This window comes from Homo sapiens, chromosome 11 (genome assembly GCF_000001405.40).
Source record: "Homo sapiens chromosome 11, GRCh38.p14 Primary Assembly".
NCBI classification, from domain to species: domain Eukaryota; kingdom Metazoa; phylum Chordata; class Mammalia; order Primates; family Hominidae; genus Homo; species Homo sapiens.
The window spans coordinates 9762828-9780531 of NC_000011.10; the positions used below are offsets into that span (position 1 = coordinate 9762828).

A 17704-nucleotide genomic window follows, 5' to 3' on the forward strand; every position below is an offset into this window, starting at 1 on the left:
CTGGAACATAGCTTACCATTGTTAGGATAGAACTGGAGCTTGAAGTGACCTGACTTCTCAGTGAGACCAAACATTCACACTCTCCAAGGAAGAAAATGAAGGAAGAGAATGTTTATGACTGGCTAAGTCTGTCACCATCCAGTACAGAGAACCTCATTTGGGCAGAGTTTTATGGCAAGCTATTGAAGTTATATATGTACGCATATGTCTGACAGATCTATATCTATAGAATATATCATATATGTGTGTAATACATAAGCTACTATATATATATGTGTGTGTATATATGTTAAGATTATACACATACAAACACAGTTGCCTTTAGTTGAGGAACCCCAAGAACCTGCCCCTTGTCCAGTCAGGGTTGCTGCCCAGAGAAATAGAACTGATTTCACTTAATACACATGATATGATCCTGAAACTTTAAGCAGAAAGAAATGTTTGTGTCCATTTTCCTTAGAAAGGGGAGGTGGGTATGGTGGGTACCAGAACTTAGACATTCCTTTGTATTATAAATGAGTTGTGAGGATAGTGAGTAGATGTATGTAACATAAATAAAGGAATGTTTAGGATGATGACTATTTAGGCTGATGATAGACTAGACTACATCAGATTAGATAGATAGGCACAGGTGGCTGGACAGAATGTGAACATGGATTGTTGATAGCTAGTTCTCTGTGAGCCAGGAAGCAGACCCTCACCAGACACCAGATCTGTTAGTGCCTTAATTTTGGACTTTCCAACCTTCAGAACGGCAAGAAATACATTTCTGTTGATTATAAGCCACCCAGTCTGTGGATGTCCTGTTGTAGCAGCTCAGACTGACTAAGACAGATGGTTGAATTACATTGAGAAATGGACAGTTGGATGATGGCTGTTTAGATTGGTGGATGTGTGAATTTTAGGTTACTGGATGGACAGCAAATGGAGGGATGAACAGCTTGATACCTTATAGAAGTGGTGCCTCAAAGTCACTTGGAAACTTTGTTACACACAGACTGCTGGACCCTACTGCCAGAGTTTTCGATTTGATAGATCTGTGGTGGGGCCTCAGAGTTTGCATTTCCAACAAGTTTCTAGGTAATGCTGATACTCCTAGTCTAGAGGCCGTCCTCTGAGAACCACTGCCCTGTGGTATGCCTGGAAGTGTCCCATGCCAGTAGAGCCAAAATGGCCTTGCCAAGCTGGAATGGAGGAATCTGGGGACCCTGGACTTAGGGATGTCATCCAGCAGGGCTCCAGGCATCCTGTCACTGGCAATGGGCTTAATGTCCACAATAGGCCTAGAGGCCCATGGCTCTTCTTCCAGGGATGTAGCACCCTTGTTTAGGACATCATGGCCCACCATGGTCTGTCCAGTCATCTCTAACCCCTGCCATCCTCAACTAGGGTTGAATAAGATCCATAAGGTACATGTACTTGGCCATCCAAGGGCGCTGGCCTTGGCTGTGGGGCATATAGAGCACTCAGAGGCAGTGCCACAGCCAGCCTAGTGCCCAGGAGCCAGCTTCAAAGGATTAGAGATGTTCCCTCTGAGCCCTACCCTGCTGAGGGGCCCTGGCAAGCCCTCCTGGTTTGTCAAAAACACTTTTATGTTTGTTGTCCCTGTTTTCTCAGGCATTGTCAACCTCTCATCTGAACAGGATTCTGCTTATCAACATTTAAACATGCTTGAATCTCACTTACCTTAAAAAACAACAAAAGCCCCTTTCTTTGACTCCATGTCTTACTGCAGCTACTGCCCCACCCTCCTCTCAACCATGGTCAAACATCTCCAGAGCACTGTCTCTTTCCTCACACCTCACATGCCTCCTGTCCATGACAGCCTGGCCTCTACCTGCCTCACTTCACCGAAACAGCACTCCCTAAAATCACTGGTGAGGTGACCTTCAGGACACTAAATCCAAAGTGCATTTTTCATTCTACTCTTCTTTTAGATTTTCCAGCAGCATCCAAACATTCTCTTGCTTCTGGAAACACTCTTCTCCATTCATTGCAAGGCACAACAATGCTCTTTCTCTGTTCACCCTCTATTCCAGGTTTATCCTCCTTTACCTGGCCATTGAATATTAGTGTCCTTAAGACACAGGCTGGGCTCTTTTCTTACTTAATACTCTTCCTTCTTGGCAGTTTTATCCATGTCCTCAAGCTACCATCTACTTTTCTCCCTCCCAAATAAGTATCTTCAGCTTATTCACCTCTTGATATCCAAGTGCTCAGCCTCTTCACTGGGACATCTCAAAGGCACCTCAGCCTCTAACTAAGGCCAAACAGGATATTTTCCCCTCCTCCACCCAACCCTGGTCATCCTTTGGTGTTCACCATCTCAGGGAAAGATACCACCATCCGTTCAGCTGGGTAACTCAGAAACCTAGCAGGTCCTTTGACACCTGTGTCCCCCAGTCTTCATGGCCAAACCACCACCAGTATCTCTCCGTTTTCCTAAGTACCTCTTGAGTCTACAGTTTTCGTCATCTTCACTATCCCATCCTAGTCCAAACCATCTCTTCTCTGAACCATGACAGTTACCTCTGAAGTGGTCTCTCCACTGCCCCTCTTGTGTCCCTCCAACCCATTCTCCATGTTGCAGCCACTCTGCACGTGGGTTCCATCTGGCAGCTCAGAGATGGGGAGATGAATCGCCTGGGGGTAGGCCCTGCTCAGGGTCATGGCAGAGGCTGGGCCTCAGGCTTCCCTGCCCCACTCTCAGCCAGGGCCCTTTCCAGGACAGGAAGGCAGGCCCACACGTAGGCTGGAGGCCCCACTAGACACACAGCTCAGCCAGGCCTCCAGGGAATGGAGAAGAGGCTTTGAAATTTGCAGTATCAAGTTTCAGAAAACACAGGGTCAGGGTCAGCAGAGCAGCTGGTAGTGGGGAAGGCCAGGCCCAGCTAATTTCCTGTCAGAAGGGCCCAGAGGCTTCAGCCCCTCTCTGGGCTGGCCACAGGGGAGGAGATGCCGGGAATGGTTCACATTCTTCTGGCTGGGGCTGCACTGAACCTCAGGGGACCTGTGGGGAGTGAGGAGGTGGATCTGCTGAGGCCAGAGTTGGGGGCTTTCCGTAGGGACCAGGCATCTGTTGTTCAACTCTTAGGCTTGGATGAGGCCAGGGACTGCAGAGGAGATGCAAAAAGACCATTGCAGCTGTGGGAGCTGTAGGATAAATAAGCCTAACTTCATGTTTTACAGATGAGGAAATAGGCTCAGACAGGGCCAGATCCTCACCAGGATCCTGCATAGTATCTCATTCTAAGCCCTGAGCTCTCTGTTTCTAATTGCCCAGGTCTGGATTTCCTGGAAGGCCCAGCTATGGCTGAGCTGTGTGTCAGTGGGGGACATGCTGGCCTTGGCTCCTCCTGCTCACCTCCAGGCTAGGAGATGCACTTCTTAGGTGCTCTAGCTGTGGGGTGGGTGGCCACGGTATGGAGTGGGTATGAGAGGGCTAAGTTAGCTGTGGGCCCATCCCACCTCTCCTTGGAGTGCCCAAGCTCATTCTGCCCACAAAGAGAACTTTATGTCCTGGTCCAGTGTCTAAGAGGGTGAGGCAGTCCTGGCTTTGAATGGCCCTGTAAATGGCCTGGCCAGGCTGGGTGTGACGTAGAGGTCAGAGGTCCCCTGTACTCTTAATTCTGTGGTGCCAAGACTGGCCTGGTTGACCTGTCAGGACTGGGGAGAAGAGCACAGGATGCAGTTAGACAAGCCTGGGTTCAAATCCCAGTTCCATCAGGCACTGCTGTGTGGCCTTGGAGAAGGTCGTTTAACCTCCTGAAATCATGGACTCCTCGGCTGTTAAAATGGGGAGGGGCTACTTAACTTCTTTCTCTAAGCCCAGACGTGTGATCGGTGTGTGTGTATGTGACTTGGGGAACCCCTCCCGGATCCTGGAAGTGCTGCACATACCCTCACTACCAGCTGGGAAGCATATGCCTGCTCCTGAAGTCAGCACCAGGGCCTGGGTGCCCCCCACCTGGTCATCCTTTCTCTACTCCTGGCACTTGAGTCTGAGGCTGGGGCCATTCTTAGATGTCCCAGACATCAACCTGACAGTCTTCAAGTGCCCCTCTCCTCCTTTATCCCCTCTGTCTCCATCAGTTAGGCCCTACATCCTACAGATACCACCTCAGGCATGTCTCTGGAGCTCCCACGTCTATCCAGCCCAACTGCCTTCTCAGGTTGGGATAATTACAGCAGCTGCTCACTGGCCTGCCTCCCTCCCAGTCCCCCTTCGCCATCCTCACCAGGGAGATCTTTCTAAAATACATGTCACAAACCTGACTTAACTTCTTTTCCTTGCTCCTCGTGATTTCACCTTTGCCCAGTGATCTTATCCTTTAATACTCGGCCTAAATGTCATTTACTCAGGAAGTCCTCTCTTACCCCAAGGCTGGGCTATGAGCTCCTCCCATCTTTCTGCAGGCTCCTACTTGCTCTCACCCTATCATAGCTCTGGTTACACCAGAAATCATATCTTGGATAGTAGGTTATTTTATTTGGGGTCCAGAGTATCCAGGAGCAGGCATTAGCACAGAAGAAGCATCAATAAATGTATGTTGAATGAAAGAAAATGGACAGACAAGTGCATGGGAAGATGGACACACTGGTTTTGGGTGACCAGCTCATTCATAATAGGTTCCATCATACAGCTGTGAGGGGAGAGACTGAGATTTGGGAGAACATGTGCATGGTCAGGGCTTACCCTGACACCGCACATACTAAAATGCTGGGCAGGTAAATAATAACCAGTTGCCCCCCAACTGGTGAGTCTCAGCCTCCCAGTGTACCTCCTGCTCAGGTGAAGGCTAGTGATGGAGCCGTGGTAGACAAGCCCTATCCCCACCTGCTAAATTCAGCTGCCCTCAGGAAATATGCTGTTAAGAGATGACAGAGATGATATGGTTTGGCTGTGTCCCCGCCCAAATCTCATCTTGAATTGTAGTTCCTATAATGCCCACATGTCGTGGGAGGGACCCAGTGGGAGGTAATTTAATCATGGGGGCAGTTACCCTCATGCTGTTCTTGTGATCCTGAGTTCTCACGAGATCTGATGGTTTTACAAGGGGCTTTTCCCCCTTTTGCTCAGCACTTCTTGTTGTTGCCACCATGTGAAGAAGGACATGTTTGCTTTCCCTTCCACCATAATTGTAAGTTTCCTGAGGCCTCCCCAGCCATGCTGAACTGTGAGTCAATTAAACCTCTTTCCTTTATAAATTACCCAGTCTTGGGTATGTCTTTATTAGCAGCATGAGATAGACTAATACAAGAGAGGTCACGAAAAACAGGTGGAATCCAGGCAGTGGGTGGGCCTACGTCAGAAAGAGTCTGCATGCGTAAGTGCCAGTATCACTAGGGTGTGTATATGTGAGAACATGTATGCCCTTGTTTGTGTTGCATGTGTGTGCACAGGATTATATGTTTGCATGTGTGAGTGTCCCTCTTGGCCTTGCAGCAGCTGCCTCTGCATATCACATTGCACCTATGCCCCTCTGCCTCATCTTATTCTCCCTAGGCCATCCCCCATCCAATTTGCTTGTTCTGAGCTCCTGCCCCCAGTATACAGCTGTTGTACGAATACGATGCAATTGCACAAATCACTGTGGTTCATTATATAGCCCTATTAGTTTCCTATTGCTATTGTAACAAATTACTACAAATTTAGCAGCTTAAAACAATACAGATTTATTCTTACTATTCTGGAGGCCAGAAGTCCAGAATGGTGTTACTGGGCTAAAATCAAGGTGTTGGCAGGGCTATGTTCATTTCTGGAGCTCTGAGGGAGAATCCATTTTCTTCCTTTTACTAGCTTCCAGAGGTTGCCACATTCTTGGCTCACATCTGTCCCCCTTCCATCTTCAAAGCCAGAAATGGCTCATTAAATCTTTCTCCTATTGAGTTTCCTATCGGGTCTTTCTCTGACATTTGCTTCTGCCTCCCACTTCCACTTATAAGGACCCTTGTGATGACATTGGACCGATCCAGGATAATGTCTTGGTCAGCAACCTTAATTTCATATGCAACCTTAATTCCCCTTTGCCATGTAAGATGACATATTCACAAGTTCCAGGGATTACAACATGGACATCTTCAGAGAAGTGGGGGATTATTCTGCTTACAGCAAATAGCCTGGGTCTACTTTAGGTTGTGAGTTCTTTGGGGGCTGAGCTGTACTGTATTCATCCAGAGATTCCTTGGGAGCAATTCAGTGCCCAGTATGCACCAGATGTTTATAATTTATTCAATATATTTGTTCCTTCCTTCCCTCTCTCTTTCACAGCGGTCCACCCCCATCATGGTCTGATAGCCCTCCCAACCTCTCTGGCCTCCCTGCCCATTGTCCCTCACAGGTGCTTCCCTTAGAAAGGAATGGTTCCATATCTGAAAATTAGCTTAGGTTTGAGAACCATTGACTAAAGAGCTGGCCAGCTCTCTAAGAGGAAGGACCTTGCAGAATTGCAGCAAGTATATGTCACAATGATTCCTTCATTTTTTTCCCCCAAAGGGACCTATGGCCATTTAGGTAATCATTCACTAGAGAAATGGGGATAACAAGACATTTTGAGGAGTAGCAGATGCAGAGTTTGAGTTAACATTAACACTTGGAGCCCAAAGCATCATCATGGCCCCTCTTTAAGAGGCCTTTTGGAGATCACTGTGATGTGATATGGCAGAAAAGTCTAGGGGCCTTCAGATGTCCAGTGTGTCAGCAAGAGAGGCCAATGCTGAGCCCCTGAAATGGCACTATTCCTTGAGACCAACTCATCACTTGGGGCAAGTCAACCGCATCAGGCCCTTTCAATTCTGGAAGGGCCAATGGTTCATCTCTACAGGGATAGAGACTTATTCTGGGCATGGGTTTGCCTTTCCTCACCACAGAGCCTTAGTTAGCGTCACTTTCCAGGGATGTACAGAATGCCTGATCCAAAGGCATGGAATTCCACACAGCACAGCACTTAACTGGGGGACAGTATGATAGCAAGGGTCCTATTGAACTATGTATGGTTTGCGGCTGCTGCAGGGCACTTGGGATTCTTCGTGCTCAGAAACCAGCAGACAAGAAGAGTCATCATACTGGCAGGGATAACTGACCCGGATCAACAGGAAGGGGCAAGGCTGCTTCTGGATAATGAGGGCAGGAGGAATGTGTGTGGAGCCCATGTGATCCACTGTGCACCTCCAGGTAGCCCCACTGTAATTGTGAAAGGATATGCAGCAACCCTGAGAAGGGTTTGATTATTTAGCATTTATCCCCTTCCCTCCCCCTCCTCTCACCCCCAGAATGAAGGTTTGGCTCACACCACCAGGTAAGCCACCAACATCTGAGGAGGTTGTTGAGGGTCGGGGGAATTCGGAATAGATAGTGGACGAGGGAGAGAATGAAGGCCAGTTATGGCTCCAAGATTAACTTCATTGGTAGGGGCCGTAGTTAGTCCCACAGACCTCCTGCTTTCTTCTGAGTTCCCCTTGGGAATAGAGGCCCAAGGGAAATGGGGAGGAACTTCTCCCTGAACCTGGTGGAGAGTAAAGATCTGTGTGGCACAAGGGGTAGACTGTGATGTTAACACTATAGTTGTAGTATATTTTAGACAGTTCAAATTATGACTCTTTTTTTAATTTTTATTTTTTTGAGACAGTCTCGCTCTGTCACCCAGGCTGGAGTACGGTGGCATGAACTCAGCTCATTGCAAACACCACCTCCTAGGTTCATGTGATTCTTGTGCCTCACCCTACCAAGTAGCTGGGACTACAGGCATACACCACCACACCTGGCTAATTTTTGTAATTTTGGCAGAGATGGGGTTTCACCATGTTGGCCAGCCTCTTTTCGAACTCCTGGCCCCAAGTGATCTACCTGCCTTGGCCTCCCAAAGTGCTGGGATTACAGGCATGAGCCACCACGTTAGACCATTTTAGCCCTGAATTTTCCTTGATATGATTTGTCCATTAGTATTTGTTGTTGTTGTTGTTGTTGTTGTTGTTGTTGTTGTTGTTTTTGAGACAGGGTCTCGCTCTGTTGCCCAGGCTGGAGTACAGTGGTGCAATCATGGTTCACTGCAACCTCAACCTCCTGGGCTCAATTGATCCTCCTGCCTCAGCCTCCCAAGAAGCTGGGACAACAGGTGCATGCCACCATGCTTGCCTAATTTTTATACTTTTTGTAGAGATGGGGCTTTGCCATGTTGCCCAGGCTGTTCTTGAACCCCTGGGCTCAAGTGATCCATCTGCTTCGGCCTCCCAAATTGCTGTGATTACAGGCGTGAGCCACTGCACCTGGCCCATTAGTTTAAATATATTCATGAGAATAGACCATAATATGTAGCTGGCTGGAGTCTCAGAAAACCTTGGCATGCCTTAATATTTGAGAATCCCATTTCATTTCTTATTAATCTCTTGAGAGCAAAGAAAATCCTATAAATCCTGTCAGAGAATGTCAAGAGTTTGGACCCATGTTTTAGATAGTGACAACTGTCCTAGTGGCTTTTAAATAGCCATCCTGCCCCTGCCATTTAGAATATTTATTTTTGCTCTCAGAAGATATTTAGAAACAAGCAAGGGAAAGGAGCCAAATCATTTACAGATTCATGTAACCAAACCAAAATGAAACCAAGATAAGAATGTTCACAAAAATTTCAACCCAGGAATGTAGAAAAAATTAAATTATGCATGCATTTATTAGTCAGGGTTCTCTAGAGGGACAGAACTAATAGGATAGATATATATAAAGGGCAGTTTAGTAAGTATTAACTCACATGATCACAAGGTCCCACAATAGGCTGTCTGCAAGCTGAGGAGCAAGGAGAGCCAGTCTGAGTCCCAAAGCTGAAGAACTTGGAGTCTGATGTTCAAGGGCAGGAAGCATCCAGCACGGGAGAAAGATGTAGGCTGGGAGACTAGGCCAGTCTCTCTTTTCACGTTTTTCTGCTTGCTTTATATTCTAGCCGCACTGGCAGCTAATTAGATGGTGCCCACCCAGATTAAGGGTGGGTCTGCCTTCCCCAGCCCACTGACTCAAATGTTAATCTCCTTTGGCAACACCCTCACAGACACACCCAGGATCAATACTTTGCATCCTTCAATCCAATCAAGTTGACACTCAGTATTAACCATCACAACGAAGAAAGAAACAAAAGTGAATTTACCAGAGAAGTCATGTCTTGCAGAAAGAACGTGGATTCTGGAGAAACCAGAGTACTCAATCCAGAAAGACACTTGTCTTTAAACCAAAAAAGATAAAAAACCTTTTATCATTCCAGGAGAACGTACAGTCCTTTATTAAAGGTGGCTTTATAACGAAACCAAATCCTGAATAAAGTTGATATAGGAGGAGTTAAGAAATTAGGCAGATAGGGTAAGGAAGTCCTTGGTAAGGTTTTCCTTTTATGAAAAGTAGCTCCCAAATGATTTTCTTTTCTAACAAAGAGCAGCCTGTAAAATTGAGCTGCAGACATAAACAAGGAAGCTAGAAGTTTGCATGGGTGAATGCCAGCAGCTGTGCCAATAGGAAAAGGCTACCTGGGGCTAGGCATATCCAACATGACAGCTCCATCTTCCCTTCTCTTTGCTAGCCACGCATACCATAAGAAGCAGACAAGATGGCACCAGCCAAGCAAAGACCTCATTTGCATAATAAGATTAGGGTGGTGCGGCCAGATTCCCTGGGCACTACGTAATGTCACACCTGGTCCAACCAATCTTTGGGCCCTATGTAATCAATCACCTCCTCAAGCCTGTCTATAAAATCTGTGCACTCCACTGTGGGCCGGAAGTCCCATTTGGGAGCCCATCTCTCTTGAAGGACAGAGCTAGCTGTTCTTTCTCTTTCTTTTGCCTAGTAAACCTCTGCTCTTAAACTCACTCCTTGTGTGTGTCTGTGTCCTTAATTTTCTTGGCATGAGGCAATGAACCTCGGGTATTACCTTAGACAACAACTCCTGTTCAAAGTCAAGAGCTTCTACCAAAAAGGGAGAGGCTTGGCCTGAGAGAAAATGCACCAGGGCAGAAAATGTGAGCCATAGAAACAGAGTGCTCAAAGGGCTCAGGCGAGTATTGCACACTAGTTCCAAGAGTCACGAATTCCTTCTGATATTCTTTTTCAGGTCCTGCTTCTGGACACCATTTATGTCACCCTACATAACAGAGAGGGTCTCTAAAAGAAAATAATATTTATTTAATAGGGCTGTATTAGTCTGTTCTTGCATTGCTATAAAGAAATACCTGGGCCGGGCGCGGTGGCTCACGCCTGTAATCCCAGCACTTTGGGAGGCCGAGGCGGGTGGATCATGAGGTCAGGAGATCGAGACCATCCTGGCTAACAAGGTGAAACCCCGTCTCTACTAAAAATACAAAAAATTAGCCGGGCGCGGTGGCGGGCGCCTGTAGTCCCAGCTACTCGGGAGGCCGAGGCAGGAGAATGGCGTGAACCCGGGAAGCGGAGCTTGCAGTGAGCCGAGATTGCGCCACTGCAGTCCGCAGTCCGGCCTGGGCGACAGAGCGAGACTCCGTCTCAAAAAAAAAAAAAAAAAAAAAAAAAAAAGAAATACCTGACGTCAGGTGTGGTGGCTCATGCCTGGAATCCTAGCACTTTGGGAGGCCAAGGTGGGAGGATTGTTTGAGCCCATGAGTTCAAGAGCATCTTGGGCAATATAGTAAGACCCTGTCTCTATAAAAAAATTAGCTGGGCATGGTGGAGCACACTTGTAGTCCCAGCTACTCAGGAGGCTGAGCTGGGAGGATTGCTTGAGCCCAGGAGGTCAAGGTTGAAGTGAGCTGTCATTGCGCCACTGCACTACAGTCTGGGTGTCATAGCAAGACCCTGTCTCAAAAAAAAAAAAAACAAAACTATAAGAGGTTGAACTGGTTCATGGTTTGCAGGCTGTAAGGCTGTAGAGGAAGCATAGTGGCATCTGCTTCTGGGAAGGCCTCTGGAATCTTACAATCATGGTAGAAGGCCAAGCGGGAACTTTCATGTCACATGGCCAAAGCAGGAGCAAGAGAGTAAGGGGGAAGGTGCCACACACTTTTAAACCTCAGGAGAACTTACTCACTGTCATGAGAATAGTACCAAGTTGATGGTACTAAACCATTCATGAGAAATCCACTCCCATGATCCAATCAGCTCCCACCAGGCCCCACCTCCAGTTGGGGATTACATTTCAACGTGCGATTTGGGTGAGGACACACATCCAAACTATATCAAGGGCATTGCAATGGGAATACCTATATAACACCATAGTAAACTATGTGTGTATTCAGGGAGGTAAAGGAACACAAAGGTTTTTTAAAGGAAAAATGAGGATCATTACATAATTGTTTTGAGATAATTATCCTGGCTACAAGGATCAGTAACAAGGGTGACACTAATCCAAGGCTGGACAGGCAGTTGCTAGACAGATGCCTTCAAAGGAGTAATTTTTGTGTAAGGTTGCAATGGCCTTTGTGCAAGGTTGCAATTTTTGCAGGTTTTTTTTTGATAGTTTTTGTTATCAGGCATTTATGCATGAGTACTCTCTCTTCATAGCTTTCCCTGGCTCAATTTATCAGGCTTTTTTGTTTTGTTTTGTTTTGTTTTGCTTTTTTTTAAACATAAGTGACTCCATTTTGATTCTGACAACTTTAACATTGACAACCATGAAAAGATTTCTCTCAGATCTCTGACTGCAGGGACTGTCATTGACTATTGGCCTCAGCTGGTATATTCTGAAATCTATTACTGTGTTTCCACCAAAACCATGCTTCCCATGGACTGCTCCTAGCCAATGATTGAGCATGGTGGGGATCCTAGGAAGGCCCATTCTTGGAATATGTGGGATTCCCCTGATGGCTCAAGGACTTCTTATCTGCCTTGCTGAACTTCCTTAGAACTGCACTGCACTCCAAGTCTCCTCCACTCATCTTTGCTTCCCTTTCTTTTTCACAAGGATTACACCAGCATCATCGTCTCTTGGCTCTTCCAGCCTCCCCAGAGTTCCTGCCTATCAGGCATCTGCTTCTCAGAGGACTGAGACACATTCCTGTTACTCCAAGAACAATTCTGTTACCAAGGACCAATGCTGTGGTCCGTGGACCAGCAGCACTGGCCTCATTAGAAACGCAGAATGTCAAGCCCCACCCCAAACCTACTGAATCAGAATCTCATTTTAACAAGATGATTCATGTATGCATTACAATTTGAGATGCACTGATTTAGATGATTTGGATTTTTCAGCAAATCCTTTAAATCTCAGTTTGGAAACTGAGTCCTTGCCAAGGTAAATATTTGGAATCACAAAGTAACAGATCATCTGCGTCCTGCATTTTTATAAGTCAAAGCCCAGCAAAGTTAAGGGACTGATTCAAGGTCATAGATTACATTAGAAGAGAGCCAGCACTAGAAGCCAGGTCTCTTGCCACCCAGCTCTTCCCTACCCCCGCAGGCTCTGCTGTGAGCAGGCTATTTGCTGTAAATATGCATTGTTTAGTGTGGTAGCAGTGGAAATAAGGCTAGTTGTGGTAGAGTACAAAATATATTTGTCCTTTGTTCTGGGTTCCTGGCGCACAGTGTCTAAAACCCTAGAAATTCCCTAAGTGATAGTTTGTTATTCCTAACACACCCCACCCTTTAGGAGTATCTTTTGCTATTCATAACTGCCCTTCGCAACACCTGAGTTTATGCTAACAAGGTGATTCAGGGTGGGGTCCCTAGCTAGGTTAAGGATGTGGGCTGGTCATCTGAAAGACCAAACAAGTGAATAGAGGGTGGGAACTTTCAGCCACCCCCAACCTCGGGGGAGGGAGGGTAACTTGAGACTGGGTTGTAAAAACTCTTGAATAATGAGATAAGGAGTGCCTCTGGGTTGGTGAACACATCAGATGCTGGGCAGGTGGTGTGTTGCCTCCCTCCATACCATGCATCTCTTCCCTTTGGCTGATCCTGAGGTGTATCCCTTAGAAATAAGCTGGTAAATGTAAGTAAAGTGTTTTCCTGAGTTATATGATTTGTTCTGGCAAATTACTGAACCTGAGGAGGGGGGATTGTGGAAACCTTCATATTTATAGCTGGTTGGTTAGAAGTTCTGGTGGCCCTTGGAACTTGCAACTAGTGTTTGAAGTGGGGGCAGTCTTGAGGACAGACCTGAACTTGTGGAGTCTACGCTAAATCCGGGGAGTTAGTGTCAGACTTGAACTGAATTGTTGGATGTCCAGTTGATGTTGGAGAACTGGTATAGAAACATGACATGCATTTGTTTTATCAGAAATGGCCTCTGAAAAAAAAATTAGTCCAAACTCAGATGTGCTGTAAGTATAAAATACACACTAGATTTTGAGGATTTAGTATGAACAAGGAATATATTTCATTAATTTTTTTTGGTATTGTTTACTCATTAAAATATTTTTGATATATTGGAGTAAACATATGGTAAAAACAAATATATTAAAATTAATGTCTTTTTTTAACTTGAAGATATCTATGGGGCTTGCATTATATATGTTTGATGGTGCTGCTGTAAACCCTATCTCTTCGTCAACACTGCTTTATTCACTGCTTAATTCATAGCTTTGGCTGGCATTGCTGAGGGCACTTCTCTGTTATCAGCTTGGGATCTTTCAGAAATTCTTTATGGGATGATAGGGCTACTTAGTAACTCTTACAAGAATCCCTGATTAAATACCTATAAATGTCAGTTTCCCTTGAGAAGCAAATGTGCCATGTTATTAGCAGTTTAAGCTCTAGCTCTGGAGTGGAGACAATAGAGTGAAGGGGTTTGGGAGGTGGGAATAAAGGATTTGGGTCAAAGGGGTTGGGAAGTGACTTATGCTATGTGCTCCTTTGAGTTTGCATCTTTCAAGAGCCCATTATTAGAAGGGTTTTGTCACTGGGACCACAGAAGGAAGGGCCCTGTTAAGGCTTCTGCAGGTTGCCAAGCCCTGGTCTTTCTCCCTTGGAACTGTAAAGCAAAAAAGTATATGAGACAGGTCTCAATCAATTTAGAGATTTATTTTTCCAAGGTTAAGGATCATGACCCAGGACACAGCCTCAGGAGGTCCTGAGAATACAAGCCCAAGGTAGTTGGGTTAAAGGCTCTTGTTTTTATATGTTTTAGGGAGACATAAGACATCAACCGACACATGTGAAGTATACATTGATTTGGCCTGGAAAGGCAGAAGCTTACAGGTCACAGGTGGATTCAAAGATTTTCTGATCGGCAATTGGCTGAAAGAGTTATTATCTAAAAGGCTGAAATTAATTGAAAGGAGAGTCTGGGTTAAGATAAGGGGTTGTAGAGACCTAGGTTCTTAGGTAGATGAAGTCTCATAGGTGGCTGCCCTTAGAGGCAACAGATAGCAAATATTTCCTATTCAGACCTTTAATAAAAGGTACTAGACTCTTAGCTAATCTCTTCAGGATCAGAAAAACACCGGGGAAGGGAAAGGGATCCTCTACAGAATGTAAATCCCCTCCCCCCGCACAAGATACAGCTTTGCAGGGCCATTTCAAAATATGTAAAAGGAATGTATTTTGGGATTAAAAAAGCTTTGATTTCCTTCAGGGCTTGCTATCTGTTGTGTGATGCTATACTAGAGTCAGGTTGGAATTTGGTATTTTATTGTGACAGTCTATTTTGTCAGTCTTAAGATCTGTTTTAATGTTAATGCTGGTCTGTTGTGTCTAAACTCCAAAAGGGAGAGGGTATAAAGAGGCATGTCTACCTCCTTGCCCGAGCATCATGGCTGGAACTCGTTTTTCAGGTTTCTCTGGAACCCCCTTGGCTGAGAGGGGGTCCATTCAGTCATCTGGGGGGCTTGGAATTTTATTTTTGTTTACAGAACCCAGTATTCTCCCCGTTCACAGTTAAGACCTGAGGAATGAAGGGCATCCAGATACTGACGCTGTGAACACAGCTTCTACTCAACCCCTAATCCCAGTTGTCTCCCTCCTGACTGAATCTCAGGGACACGGCAATGTGTAATGGTAGCTGTTGAGAGGCCTAGGACCAAGGAAAGGCTTGAGGGCCCTTGGCTAGATCAGCATGCTCTTGAGACTGAGGAGAACCGAAAGCTCAAGGGAATATGTCACTATCTATCTCACCTTGAGCCTCAGTGGCTATTTGGGATCCTCTTGCTTGGCTCAGAGGACTCTGGATGTCAAAGGACTTAAAGGCTCTGCCCTAGATGAAAACTTGCATTCTCTGTTGGCTACATGAGGTAAACTCATGGGCTTAACCAAGGAAGTACTGTCTAGAACTGAAATCACTGATCATTTGTACTGTTTAACAATTCCGTTTGGGAGGCCGAGGAGGGTGGATCACGAGGTCAGGAGATTGAGACCATCCTGGCGAACACGGTGAAACCCCATCTCTACTAAAAATACAAAAAATTAGCTGGGCGTGGTGGTGGGCCCCTGTAGTCCCAGCTACTTGGGAGGCTGAGGCAGGAGAATGGTGTGAACCCGGGAGGTGGAGCTTGCAGTGAGCCGAGATTGCGCCACTGCACTCCAGAACTCCAGAGCCTGGGCAACAGAGTGAGACTCTGTCTCAAAAAAAAAAAAAAAAAAAAAGTTCCCTGAAGCAGAAAAATCTGCTGCTCAAACAGACTTCAATGTCTCATGCCTAAAATTTTCACAAATTACCATATACTCTGGGTGGTGGAATGGACCCAGAATAGGTAAGGGACTTAAGCAATTTCAAACAGCTTATTAGAGACAGTGGTAGGAGTGGCAGCACATATGAGAATCTTGGCCTCAAGTCTCTTACCTAAACTCTGCAGAAGTGTGTCTGGAACCCAGAAGCTCATGCTAACATGTCCAGTATCCCTAGTTACTTCTTGAGCAAAGGGCAGTGATGACATTAGGAGAATGAAGGAACAAAGTGGGTCATGCTTTGTTTTATTCTTGAACCTTTAGTCCCATGTATGAATCCTGAGTGTTACCCTCCTGAATGCTGTGCACTACAGAATGAACTTTAGTTCACAGTAAATGAGGGATGCTTTTTCTTAAGAAATAAATTTAATTCAAGGTGGTTAGTGAATGTGAGGCAATGTAATGCCTTCACGAAAGTTAAAGTAATCCAGTTACAAAAGAAGCACTGTGTATAGTCTCAAATAGCTGAAGGTACAATGGGCTCCATATTTTACAAAGTACAAAAAATTATTTCATATACAAAGAAAAATACAAATAATGTGCAAAAACCATTTTCACAGGTGGCAATTTATAAAATGGAAATGATAGAAAAGTCCTTCATTCTTAATTATCCCCAGATTTCTTATATATTAACACAGTTCTATTTCCTAGTGTGTGGACAATTTTAAATTTGAAATTCTGATTTATTTTTAATCTACAAAGTATTTTTATTTTTTAAAAGGGAACCATTTCATTATTGAAATCTTATGAATGCATCAGTTAATTTATATTAAATTATAAGCAGGCTATCTGAAAAACAAGGATATAGAAATCATATATACACATTTTTGAAATATTAGTTTAGTATTTAACATATTAACATTTCAAAACAAATGCAATGATCTAGCTACCTATGACGCCAGCTGGTGTCAGTGGTTGTAGCGAAGATGCTGTTTCTGTTTACCATGAGCAAACAGCATTTCTTGGGTCTTAAGCTAAACAATCACAAGTTATCAAAGTAAAGAAAATCTAAAGACAGTTCTTACTTTTCATGTGTAGAAGTGTAGTTTGGGTATCCAGTCATGCCACAGTGTGACTGTGGTCAACACAGCCCTTGTCACAGGTGCGTATGGTCCTAAATAGCTGGCCTCTGTCTTTCCAACATCTTCACTTCATTGGGAATTCAGTGCAAGTGTTTGTTTTGTGAGTTAGTGCATTCAGCTTTTTTTGCATGTTATTTTGAAAAAGAAGCTGTCAGGAAGCAGAAGATACATAAGAACACAAGGCCCTGGATCCTCAGAGCACCTCTGGTCTAGAGAATTCAGTGTTTTGGAAGTAGTGTTTTCCTGCATTGGGCTGGTCATTGTTGTACCATTCCCTGGATAATCTTTTTCCATCAGAATAATGCTGTGTGCTCCCTCTTTGCCTGCTACTGAACAATGACGTCTCTTGTTGTGAACCCCACTGGCAGAGCACGGACCATGGAAGCATCTTTTGGCAGCACCAGAGAACTGAGCATCTCAAAGGTCAGGCATTACAAGTAGATGTCTCTCATAGGAAACCTAGTCCAGGTAGAATATGAGACAATCTTGGAGGGTTTTGATTTTTGCTTGTTAAACAGGTCTCCGAGGAAATTATGACCTCAGAGAACAAAAAAGGATCTATAGCTTTCATGAAGAAGGACCCAAGTAGGTGGTAGCCATTTTGCCTGGGTGAGGTTCACAGTTGGCTCAGGAGACATCTTCTGATCATTAACCACTAAGACCCTGTTAGAAAAATTTAGTGCAAGATACAGGGAGTGCATGGGGCTGTTGACCAGACCTGTGTGAAACACCTATTCAGGTTAAGTAGATATAGCAACCCCTGCAAGAGGGGACTGGGCAGGAGAACCTCAGGCCCTGGGATAACTTGTTGTCAGCTCCTCAAGGATCCATGCTTCTTTTTCTATCTATCTGGCAGCATGAGTTCTTCTGTTTCTTCTGCGTGGGTTGACCATGGGCATCAGGCATCAGAGATACAACTCTGGATCTTGTCCATCCATTGCTGGGCACTCTGTCCATCCTGGGCGCAGAAGTTATACACACGTTTGCTGGTCTTGAGCTACAAAACCAAATG

At 45.2% G+C, this 17704-nt stretch overlaps 1 protein-coding gene and 1 long non-coding RNA gene across 7 annotated transcripts in view, besides 2 other annotated features; one reads left to right on the top strand and one right to left on the bottom strand.

Annotated features, from left to right (window-relative positions):
- The window catches only part of SBF2-AS1 (SBF2 antisense RNA 1), a 53027-nt gene that overhangs the window by 4535 nt on the left and 30788 nt on the right, over positions 1-17704 (top strand). The window lies entirely within an intron of this gene.
- Positions 842-1342: an enhancer, noted in NCBI's record as "H3K27ac hESC enhancer chr11:9785216-9785716 (GRCh37/hg19 assembly coordinates)". NCBI's record gives its function as "activates a minimal SCP1, AML or CMV promoter by ChIP-STARR-seq in naive H9 embryonic stem cells {active_cell/tissue: H9 hESC(naive)}" and the evidence as "EXISTENCE:reporter gene assay evidence [ECO:0000049][PMID:30033119]".
- Positions 2251-3074: an enhancer, noted in NCBI's record as "H3K27ac-H3K4me1 hESC enhancer chr11:9786625-9787448 (GRCh37/hg19 assembly coordinates)". NCBI's record gives its function as "activates a minimal SCP1, AML or CMV promoter by ChIP-STARR-seq in primed H9 embryonic stem cells {active_cell/tissue: H9 hESC(primed)}" and the evidence as "EXISTENCE:reporter gene assay evidence [ECO:0000049][PMID:30033119]".
- Positions 15841-17704, bottom strand: part of SBF2 (SET binding factor 2) — a 526174-nt gene continuing 524310 nt past the window's right edge. For all 6 annotated transcript variants that reach the window (NM_001425069.1, NM_001425070.1, NM_001424318.1 and 3 more), the window contains one exon: positions 15841-17689. In NM_001425069.1, coding sequence (NP_001411998.1) covers positions 17591-17689 — 99 coding nt within the window. In that variant the 3' untranslated portion in view covers positions 15841-17590. The remainder of the gene's footprint in view (positions 17690-17704) is intronic.